Source organism: Homo sapiens, chromosome 8 (assembly GCF_000001405.40).
Source record: "Homo sapiens chromosome 8, GRCh38.p14 Primary Assembly".
Lineage (NCBI taxonomy): Eukaryota > Metazoa > Chordata > Mammalia > Primates > Hominidae > Homo > Homo sapiens.
In genome coordinates this window covers 24,477,998-24,490,057 of record NC_000008.11, presented here as the reverse complement: position 1 = coordinate 24,490,057, position 12,060 = coordinate 24,477,998, and the positions used below count along the sequence as shown (strand labels likewise).

At 37.3% G+C, this 12,060-nt stretch overlaps 1 protein-coding gene and 1 long non-coding RNA gene across 2 annotated transcripts in view; one reads left to right on the top strand and one right to left on the bottom strand.

Annotated features, from left to right (window-relative positions):
• ADAM7-AS1 (ADAM7, ADAMDEC1 and ADAM28 antisense RNA 1) overlaps positions 1 to 12,060 on the top strand; it is a 252,805-nt gene that overhangs the window by 58,561 nt on the left and 182,184 nt on the right. The window lies entirely within an intron of this gene.
• The window catches only part of ADAM7 (ADAM metallopeptidase domain 7), a 68,540-nt gene that overhangs the window by 19,508 nt on the left and 36,972 nt on the right, over positions 1 to 12,060 (bottom strand). Inside the window, exons 9-12 of the mRNA NM_003817.4 lie at positions 7,747 to 7,916; positions 4,697 to 4,781; positions 2,741 to 2,871; positions 725 to 899 (exon numbers count right to left, since the gene is read on the bottom strand). Coding sequence (NP_003808.2) covers positions 725 to 899; positions 2,741 to 2,871; positions 4,697 to 4,781; positions 7,747 to 7,916 — 561 coding nt within the window. The remainder of the gene's footprint in view (positions 1 to 724; positions 900 to 2,740; positions 2,872 to 4,696; positions 4,782 to 7,746; positions 7,917 to 12,060) is intronic.

Genomic DNA, 12,060 nt, shown 5'->3' with positions numbered 1-12,060 from the left:
GCAACATCAGTGTAACCTTGAAGCTAGGTAGGTGTACAGAATCTCAGAACCACTCCATACTTACTGAATCTGAGTTCACATTTTAACAATGTCCCCTGGTGATTCATCTGCACTTATTAATTTCAGAGGCAGTTGTCTAGAAGACATATCTATGTGATAAGCTCTTGAAAGAAATAGCTTCTATGATAGGGAAAAGCATATTAAGAATTACTTTAAAAATTGCCTCAAGGGCTTTTCCTAAATGTTCCAGAGACCACAACTACAATAAATACATGAAACATTTGAAGGTTTCTGCTCTATTAAGAAAGAGTTTTCTATTAACAGGAACTGTCCAGCTGTGATACAGGCTAGCCTCATAAGTTAATAAATAAAACTTGATTGAGTAAGAGATTTTGTAGAGCAGATTCTGACTCTGCATGAGACATCAGACTTAAGGACACTTATGGGCCCTTGTCACAAGCAGAACCAATTATATATTAACAAGGAAAGCTGATGCTGCTGATCTCCAGCAAGGTCATTACACATGTTTCATGACTTGATAAGAAGCCCTGGAATGAGGCTGCACCAATAATTTGTTTTATAAAATCAAAATAAAAATGGAAAGCAAAATTTTTAAAAGTTTTACAAGGAACACCACGGTTGGTTTGATTAATGGCCACATCCCTGCCTAGGTTCTACCTGATCATAAATTTTGCAATTTAAAGATAGCTTCATTTGCAAATACCTGAGCAGGGCCACAGTCACACTCTTCACCCTCATCCAACTTCTTGTTTCCACAAAATTGGAAATCATGAAAATTGTAAGGAAATGGAATGTTGAGCATGCATGTTGGCTTATAATCCTTCAAGTACTGGTGGTATTGGTTTTGGCTGCATTTACTGAATTTCAGTGCAGGAATGCTAGAGATAGAATGAGGTAAAAATAAAGATTAATCATATCAATGCATAGTGGTACAGTGGCTGTGAGCATTTTATGAAGCATTTGAAAAGAACAAATGTAAATGTTTACTGTTAGAGCAGGGAAGTAACTGGGTCCTTTATTATAGAAAATATCTTTTCAAAACACAGCAAACACATGCTATGTTAGTGAAAATATCTTGGTTATAGATCCTCCAGCAAATCCTTCCTGAAGCCCACCTTACAGACTGGTTGTCTGTGTTTACTGCTTCCACATCCTCTTTAATTTGGTCCTCTTGAAATAACCTATGTATTTGTTTATCATCCCTACTAGATTACAAGCATCTCAAAGCAATAATTGTATCATGTGTGATTTTAAAAAAATAAACATTAGTTAACACAGTACCTGGCACAAAGTGGTTCTCTATAAATTTATTAAGACAAACAGTTTATTTAATAATATACACATCCATAGGAATGTAATATACTTCTTAACCTGAAATTTATCTCCCTTCCATCTTCCTTTTCTTCTGACTTCCTTAACATTATTATTGACATAATAGTTCAATACAGTAGGTCTTTAGAGTCTTGATCACATTAGACTGAGATACTAGGACTCTGTAAAATACTACTAATTATGTAAATAATAATGTAAAACTAAATATTAATTACTGTGTTCTTATTCTGTGCCAGCCATCACATTTAGTTGTGTTAGTCACTTTACTCCATTTAATCAATGTGTGGAAGCATTGATCACCACGAAACTTTTCTTACTATATACAATGCTTTATGTATACCTGCTCCGAAGGGATTCAAAGATGTGCAAAACTTAGGACCTGACTGCTTGGTAATTCACAGTACAATGGGGAAGGCTGGATATTCATTTATTCTGTAACTGTTTATGGAGTGTTTAATATGTGTTTGGGACTTTTCTAGTACAGTGGTGTTATAACAGTGACCCCAAAAGACAAAACCCTCTGACCTTGTGGGACTAGCTTATATTCCAGCAGAAGAGTACAGTTATAAATAAGCTGAATGCATGAAACAGAGAATATGCTAGATAGTAATAAGTACTAAAGAGAAGACAAAAAACAAATGGAGTGGGAGTTGAAATGCCAGGATGTATGTATGATCTAGATCAGGTGGCCAGGGAAAACATCGGTGGGAATAACATTTGAGTAAAGATGTGAAGGAAGACATTATAGCTTATAGAAAAGATGACAAAACAAGGCATGTAGAGTCTATTTGTCCCCTAATTGCCTTGGTAGCAATTGGTACTAATTGTTCATGGTGTACTTTTGCAGTGTACCCAGAAAGTTTTGGGATTTCTCTCACGGTATCACTAGAGAGAGACACTACCAGTTGGCAAGATTTAGCCCCAGAAAGAAAACTGCCACGCCTAGTTATGGAATAGACTTTTTAGGAAATTCCATAGCTTTACAACATATCCTACAATAATGGATTTTGACTCAAAATCCACTTTTGAAACATATTTTTTTCTTTTCTTTTTTTTTCTTTTTTTTTTTGAGATGGAGTTTTGCTCTTGTTGCCCAGGCTAGAGTGCAGTGGCATGATCTCGGCTCACGGCAACCTCCGCCTCCCGAATTCAAGCAATTCTCCTCCCAAGTAGCTGGGATTACACGCATGTGCCACCAGCCTGGCTAATTTTGTATTTTTAGTAGAGATGGGGTTTCTCCATGTTGGCCAGGCTGGTCTCGAACTCCTGACCTCAGGTGATCCACCTGCCTCGGCCTCCCAAAGTGCTGGGATTACAGGCATAAGCCACCATGCCCAGCCCACTTCTGAATTATGTAAGTGTATTCTGTACATTGTTCGAATCTCACCTTCCATCACTGTCCATCACGCATTTTCCTGAAGGACAGGTGCATGGGAACTCGTCATGCTGCATCCCAAGGTTATGCCCCAGTTGATGTGCCATTCTGTTTGCAATTATGTTTGTGTCAGGTAAAAGATCCTGATGATAAAACAATTGCATTAGAAATTTTCAAAAGTTAGCATACTGTAGTACATAGTGCTTCAAACTAGTGGTTGAAAGACCTGGCTTCTAGCTCCTAGTTAACTGGTATCTATTTAAAAAGGCATGGACTCAGTTACTTCTCTCCTCTGTACCTCAGTTTCCTTAATTGTATAAGAAACCCAAGAAAGTGACTTTTTAAGTATCTCTAGCTCTAACATTTGAAATTCTTTCTTTGTGGCATGGTGATAGTCATTGTTCAATTTATAGAAGCTCATTCTTATAAATAGTTAAAAACTATGAACTAATGTTATTATGATTTTTACCTCTTCAAAATTCATATGTCGAAGGTATAAAACTAACTTCAAGGTGATGACACTAGGAGGTGAAGTCTTTGGAAGGTGAGTAAGTCATGGGGGCAGAGCCCTCATAAGTGGGATTAATGCCCTTATAAAAGAGGTTTGAATGAGATCCATGCCCCTTCTACCGGGTCAGGACACAGCAAGAAGGTGTCAACTGTGAGCCAGACAGGGCTTCACCAGACACCGAATCTGCTAAGGACTTAATCTTGGATTTCCTAGCCTCCGAGAAATAACTTTCTATTGTTTCTTACCCATTCATTTGTGATATTTTGTTACAGCAGCTAGAATGAGCTAAGATAAATATCCTACACAATATAATAAGTAATATTGATTGTCCTCTTTGTACTAGATATCCAAATTCTATACAAATAAAAATATGAGGTTCTTGTTTTCAGCTTATAGTCTCACATTGCACAACAATGCTATACAATCTTAAAGACGAAGTTTCTATTATGGGAAAAACTTAAATGTCAGATATATCAAATCCATGCAAGAATTGGTTAACTTGGCTCATAGTTCCATTATATGCTTTAATTTCTATGTTAATACAGAATTAATTTCCAAAAAGAGGTGGGCTATCAGATTACTATAAAGCTAATAAAACATACCTAATTTGGTCATCTCATCTTACTCATATAAAGTTTAAAATGTGTCCTGGAGTGATTATAATAGCATAATCTAAGTAGCGTGTATCATAGTATGAGTAGCAATAATCTAACAGCATATATCAGATGAAATTGACTCTATGATCCAAAACTTATGTTACTGAAATACCATAGGAAAAGCTATACACACAAAATAACTATATAATAAGTAAGTCATGTGGTCATTTAAATAAGTACTAGCTTTGAAATTTTTTATCTTAATACCAGACAAGGCACAGCAACAATTAGGCGCGACATAAAGAAAATAAATAGAAACCTTCGTGTTTTCAAGCATCTCTCAGATGGGGTTACTTGGACAACATTTACTAGAAGCTTAGAGACTTTGGAAAGGATCACATAAAAAAAAGGGAGTCAACAGTTTTTAGGTCTTATGCTTTCTAAAAATGAATTGAAAGGTTGTCTTGATATGATATAGGAAGTGGTTTATGTGCCTTATTATCAGCACTAGAACAATTATCCTCACTTATTAAATGAGCCATCAACCTTTATGTGCATTATTTGTCCTTATAAGTAGCTATATTTCATATGCAAAAGAGCTTTACTAATCATTGCATGCTGATCTGTGGTATACTATCCGTTTAAACTCTAAACAAAATGGGTTTACCTTCAATATTTATCTATAATTTTTCAATAAAACATTTTTATTCATTTAATAAAGGAAGCATAACAGTCTGTTCATGACATATCTTAGTGAGTATATATGACAAAATGCATACATAGTCTCTTTCCATGGAACCCAGGACATTACAACAATTTTATTCAAACATTATTAAGTAATATAAATAAAACACAGCCCACCTTAATGATACTGGTGGAATAATAGGGCAGGCACATACCCCCTGGATAAGAAATTCCTTGCACATGTGAGTAGAGCCACTTCCCACTATGAAAAAGATGCAAAAATAGTCTTCAATCTGAGTTAGTAGTTTAATTAACACAAAGATCAAATTGCAGTGAACCCCAGCAATGCCAATGCTTTTGCATGTGAAAATGCCTTCTTATTTCTGGAGTTTTGGAATTGAGGCTGACCTTAGTTGATATTGAGCTCATCTTTAACCTGTGGGATATTAGAGGCATTGAAAAAGCCAGTGCACTTGGGAGGCCGAGGCAGGTGGATCACGAGGTCAAGAGATCGAGACCATCCTGGCCATTGTGGTGAAACCCCATCTCTACTGAAAATACAAAAATTAGCTGGGCATGGTGGTGCACACCTGTAGTCCCAGGTACTTGGGAGGCTGAGGTAGGAGAATCACCTGAACCCGAGAGGCGGAGGTTGCAGTGAACTGAGATCATGCTACTGCTCTCCAGGACACAGAGCGAGGCTCCACCTCAATTAAAAAAAAAAAAAAAAAAAAAAGCCAGTGCAATCTTACACTGAAATTGTAGAAAGGTATAAAACAAAAAACAAAAAAATACAAATCAAAAAATACAATTGAAATCCCATTTTACTTTAGTCTACTCTGCCCTCAGCTTTGGATAAAACCACTTACAAGACCAGAAATTAATGAAATGTAAAATGTAAAAGTGTTTAGAAGGAAAAACAAAGTAACACAATGAATGGACTTAACACCATGATTGATTAGCTACAATTGAAAAATGTTAAGACTTTTAATCAACCATAGAAACTCAGGTAGGATTTGATAGCTATAATAAAACACTTAAATGAGTTGTCAGATAAAATGAGAACTGTTCCTTGGATTACTTGAAAAGACAAATGTAGATATTTATATTATAGGAATCCAAATTTGATTTGATTTCAGGAATATTATTTAGAGTTGAACCACTTTAAAAAGAGCCATTAGGGGCTAAAGGGTCATACCTGGAATGTAATAGAACTCAAAGACAAGATAGGTGGTCAGATTAGATGACCTCTTTCAGTCTTTACCTTTTTTGATTAAGATACACTCCATTTTTCTCTTTATTATTGAAATGTTTCTCTTCCTACATATTAGGCATCAGTATTTGACTATGCTTCTTGGAGAGACAGAATTCTGGTCTTTTTAAACTCTGGGGGTATTGAGAAAACCACATGTATGGAGGGGAAGCGCCAGGACAAGAATAATCTTGAGTGTCCTCTCATGGTTGCATGAAATCAAGTAACACATGATAATGCCATATATACTGTCTTGCCACTTCTACATCTAAGTGAATACAGAAGGGCAGGTACCCAAGAAACTTAACACATAAGAAGTCCCAAATATGATGCTCAATTGGCTATTTAGTAGCATTTCACCCCATCTCCTCACTTGCAGACATCCTATTGATATGAGAAGCTACTGGTTAGAATCGGAGGTGTTCTAAAGTAGTTAAAAGTTTTCTACTTACACCCATTCAAATACTTTTGGTTTTATTTATTAAGTATTAAAAAATACATGTATAAAGAGAGGGCAAAGGAGTTAATCTTGCCCACTCTGAAGTTTATGGCGATGTTTTACCACGCTCCATTCCCCATGATTTTGGGGCATGCTAATGCATGAATATTCAAGTACAAGCCAGGCACAACTATGCCTCTGGCGATATATGCTATGGGCCATCCCAGATATAGAAAACAGGAATTATGTTACTTTGGAGGTCTGATGCACTCTCATTAATCTGCCAAAGGACTGAATCTGACTTCTGACTACAGGTATTGGAAGCTTCAGGTTTTTGAGTTCGGACTGAAAGTCAACGTCTAAATAATAATAGAAGATTAGCACGCTGGGTTTGCAGACCTTAGGAGAAATACCGATATTATGGGTATATAAAGTAGGAAGAGTGAGCACTATTTTAATACAGTAGCTTTAAGGGCTTCAGAAGAGATTCTAAAAGATGGCATCGCTCCAAAGGACTTCTTCCACAATTTAGCATTCTTTAGGATAACAGGACTGTGCTAAATATTAGGTTGTATTACATTCAGTTCCATAATTACTTATCCTTTTCCTCTGGGCTAAGTACTGCGCTAGGTATCTTGAATAACAAAAATGATAAAAATGGTCCCCTTTTTAAAGAAATTAAAGATTGAGTGGTCTAGACAAAGTCACGCTTTTACTTAGGAATATTAAAGCTCTGACAGGTTTCACTTATCAGATTAGTTGTTTGTTCAATTGTATAGTAGAGAAGATGGTATTGAAGGGCTGGCCACCAGGTAGGCAGATTTTGATGAGGGGAAATGTTCAGAGAGTGAGGTGCTTTCCCAGAAAGGCAGATTTTGGAAGAATATTGGAACGGTACAACATGGGAGGGCGAGAGGAGTTAGCACTGGATGCTGATAAAAAATGTAACATGGATTCTAAAAGCACTTTGCTTACCTAATGGCATTTTTAAGTCTACCAAGGAATATGAATATATCAGATTTTTTCTTTTCTAGTATTAATATTAGAAAGAAAGATTATTAAATAGTCCACTTGAAAACTTTCTATTTATTTATTTATTGAGACAGGGTCTCATTCTGTCACTCAGGCTGGAGTGCAGTGGCACAACCACAGCTCATGTTATCCTTAACCTCCTGGATTCAAGAGATCCTCCAGCCTCAGCTTCCCAAGTAGCTGGGACCATGGGTGCTTGCCCCCATGCTCAGCTAATTTTTAAATTTTTTGTACAGATGGGGTCTTGCTATGTTGCCTGGGGCTGGTCTTGAACTCCTAGGCTAAAACAATCCTTCTACTTTGGTCTCCTAAAATGTTGGGATTAAAGATATATGCTACGGTTCCTTGCTTGGAAATTTTCTGTGTAGCTACAAATAACATTTTGTCCCTGTGTGCTACCCAAAAGTCAAATGCTTAAAAAATGTTTTTTTTCTGTTAATTTTTTTTTGTTTTCTTTTGTAATAATCCACCAAAGGTATGCAAGAAAATAGAGCAATCACCAACCTGAGTAATACAACATGATCAAAATCCTTCCGTGTTTTAAGGATCTTTTCTTGCCAAAATGAAAAACGCAATAAGGTAGTTTCTATATTTGAATATAGTTCTATTTTATCTTCATGTGTCCATATTTCAATGCCAACCAACGTCACATGGATGTTTAAGGTTTTATAAATCTGTTCAAAGAAGAAATCATTTTTCACAAAGTCAAGTTGCTGGAAACAGTCTTCAATATTACTATATTCCTTTACATTTCCCCAAAAAACAATAATTTGAACTTGTGAGGTACATTAGTAAACAGTGCAAGCCTCATGTTGCAAACAGATATATCAAAATGGGACAGAATGCATTGCCCAGAATACCTGGTGAATTTTCTGGGCAATGGTGAAATTTGATCAGAAAGATCTGCCTCCTCGAACTATCATAAGTCTTACAGGCACTGTCTCAGGATGTGCTGGAAGAATGTATTAAAGTTCTGAATTTAGAACTGGCCTAAAAGCATAAATTTACTAACAGTGGCAGGCGGTGTGAGTGCTCCTTATGCACCTTCATACTTCAGGCCAAGTGTTCATTCTGTGGCAGGTTAGAAAGTTGGTATTGGTTTTCAAAAACTTAACTGCTGTGTTTGATCTTTATGTTTGAATTTTGTAACTACCTTTTTATTTAATCTGAGAAATGTCATTAGGGGTTGCTCTAAGCAGGCAGAAATAGTTGTAGCCTATAAACCTCACACCTATTTCTACCTGCTCTGTAAACACCTGGGTGATAGGTACTTTTATGCCAGGACAAAAGAAGTTAGAGTTTATGCAGTTATTATGGGAATTTTGAGAGAAAGGACTATGTGTTGTATCAGTTTTATATTCTACAATAGTCAGTACAAGTAGGTTGAAAGGAAGTGAATGATAAACTATCAACACTGAATGAACAGAAATGGAAAGATCATTCATACAATGTTACTAGGCAATGTAACTAGTCAATAAGAAGTGTAATAATTATATCATTCCTATAACAATAAACTTCTGTTAATATTCTACTTTTCTTAACCTACATGATATGAATATACTCAATTCCATGTGTCAGTAGAGGCCAAAGAAGTCATTTCATAATCATGGGAATTAGGTGCCTTTTAAACTCTCCCGAAGTTAGACATGTAGTCAAACTCTGACTTCAAATCTACCCTGGAGCCTGTGATATGCATCCTTATTCCTCTTGGCCCTGAATTGTTTGTTTGTTTGTTTGTTTGTTTGTTTGTTTTTGAGACAGGGTCTCATTCTGTCACCCAGCCTGGAGTGCAGTGGTGCAATCATAGCTCATTGCAAAGTTGAACTCCTGCGCTCAAAGGATCCTCCCACCTCAGCTTCCTGAGTAGTTGGAACTACAGGCACACACCACTGTGCCTTGCTATTTTATTTATTTATTTCTTTTTGTTGTTGTTGTTGTTGTTGGGACGATGTCTCAGTTTGTTGCCCAGTCTAGTCTTGAACTCCTGGGCTCAGTGATTCTCCTGCCTTGACCTTCCAAAGTGTTGGGATTACAAGCATGAGTCACCACACCAGGATCTTGACCCTAATCTTAATGTATGGTAAACTTTAGAAATCAAGTACTACATAGCAATAATTATTTTAACGTGGGATTTTCAGACCCTCTCTATTCACAAATGGGCTTTACGTTTACAAAACTACACACAAGTGCAAACGGAAATATTATTTGTCCTTCTGATGATATTTTCTTCTCATAAGAACATATAAAATAAAAGCCATGCTTTATCTGCTAAATTCTTGGATAGTTTTGGATACACACATTTGGAATGTTGTGGAGAGTTGAACTGCTCTTTATAGTAGGGAAACAACTATGGAATCTCTGAGTTAAAAGGGGTGAAGACATAATAAAAGTCAAAATAAGAAAGGACCCAGTGAAATAACGTGAGTATGGGCTCTGTGAAGGATAAAGGGCCAGTAAGAAGGGATACAATGGCCAGGCACACGGGCTTTTAGACTTTGTTAGCTTAAATTGTTTGTTTTATAATGTGCTATGTAACCTCCCAATCTAAACTACAAATCTTCAGTAAAAGTTCAGCAATATGCAACAATTTTGTATGTATGCTTACTTGAAGATGAGAAACCAAGGAGAGAGTTTGAGTCTTGACTTGGTGTCAATGCTAGGGAAGTGATAAAAGACATAATTGCAAGATACAAGGCAAGGCAGAAAACAGAAGTGACTATGAGATGTAATCATTGCACTCCACACTGTTCCTTCCTCCCTCTTACAAAAAGGCATGGGGGAAATTTTCAATTTCCACGGACATAAATTGAAACAGTTGGGAGAAGTTCTGCTTCTGCCTACAAAGTACAAAGTTAGAAAGAATGTTGCCTCTATCCTGACAAAAAGGACAAGCCAGAGAATCTAGAAAATCATATATTTTTTTCTGTATCCACCACAGAACTGAGGCCATAGGGCCAACAAGTGTGCCTGAACCCTAAGAAAAGACAGTCTCCTTCAAGGAGAAATGGTGCCAGAGCACCTTCCTTGTGGCAGATAATGAGAAAGAAAGATGTTGAGCACCTTTTTAATGGGTAGAAAGAACTGACCAAATATCATTGATGAACTGCTTCAGGCCAAGTGTGGGAGAGAAGGAGAATGCAGAGCCCTATGGAGATCCAGACACAGGGATCTCAGACCCACACACAGATTGATCTCCATGGGCCTCCATGGACGCCAACAACCACAGTGGGAGACAGAGAGGGAGACTCAAGATGGCTCCCTCAGTGGAGTGGGCCTGAAGAAGGGGAGAATTGCTGTTTTGCAAAAAATTATAAAATCTACCGAACTCTTTCCCTCAAGGAACAAAAGCTTTAAACTGCCAAGGGAGCTATAGTAAATTTTTCCCCCAGAACCCAAATTAAAATGTATTACAGCTGAAGAAAAGGAAAACAAAACAAAACAAAACAAAACAAAAATAGCCTTCTACTCCTGGAGGACAGGTGGGAAACTGTCCTGAATCCAGACCATTCAAGATCTCCTACCAATGGAGAGGAAAATGAACACTGAGAAATACTCACCCAATGACCCATGGACAGGGCTTCCCTAAGACTGAGGTTAAATCAGGATGATAGAACATGCTCTGGACCCCATAACTAGGCTAGAAGGCACTGAGGAACAAACAACACGCCACTACTGAAGAAGCAGTGAGAATGTGAAGGGAGGTGCTGGCTCTCAATAAACGTGCTGAGGTGCTGGCTCTCAATAAAAGCCTAAAGTCGAGAAAGGAACAGAAATATGGAGAAAAACTCCCCAACAATTCAGGACCCACCCTAAGCACAAAGTAACACTAGATGAATATGCAGTTGATAGTGCACTTCAGGTAGCAGTAGCAACAAAATCAGCTAATTTCTGACCAGATTAATCCAATTCCGCATGTTAATGACCTAGCAAAAGAGGAAGTGTACCATTTCAGGCATAAATATTATTTTCTTAGACTCTACTATCCTATACATACTGTCTACTATCCAATAAAACATTAAAGAACATACAAAAGAGCAAGAAAAGACAACCCACTGTTGGAGAGAAAAGAGTTGACAAAACTAAACTCGTAGATGACCCACATGTTGAAATTGTCTAACAGGAAATTTAAATTAGTTATCCATAATATGTTGAAGGCTCTAATGGAAAACATGGATGTGGTTTGCAGAATTTGAAGATGGCCCCCAAGGATTCCTGTTCCTGGACAGTAACACACTGTGGAATGACCTCCCTTTCAACGTGGGCAGGACTGTGACTATGATGAATTTCACTAGTATATTTAGGTTATGAAACAGAACAAAGATAAAGGGAGCTTACAGCTTTTCAGATGTAATTAAGGTACCCAAATCAGAGGATTCTGAGTTGAATAACAGTGAACTTACTGTGGGTAGACCTAACTTAATCTTTTAAAACAAGTCTAGTAATTTGAAGCAGCAGCATTTCTCCTGCTGGCCCAAAGAAGAAACCTGCCATGTTGTGAAAGGGTCCGAGAGAGCACTGTGTGGCAAGAAATTGTCAGGGCCCCCAGTAACTGAGATGGCCCCAGCAGACTGCCAGCAAGAATTTGAGGACTTCAATCCTGTAACTGCATGAAATAAATTCTGCCAACAACAACAAGCTGAGATCCCCAGGCCTGATTTCCTCATTCTGAGATCCTGAGCAGAGAATCCAGTTATGTTGTACCCAGACTTCCTGCCTACAAAAATTGTGAGATAGTTAATGAGTATTGTTCTAAGATGCTAGGTTTGTGGTAACTTGTTATGCAGTAATAAAAAAATGAATATAGTGAAAAACAAGCTT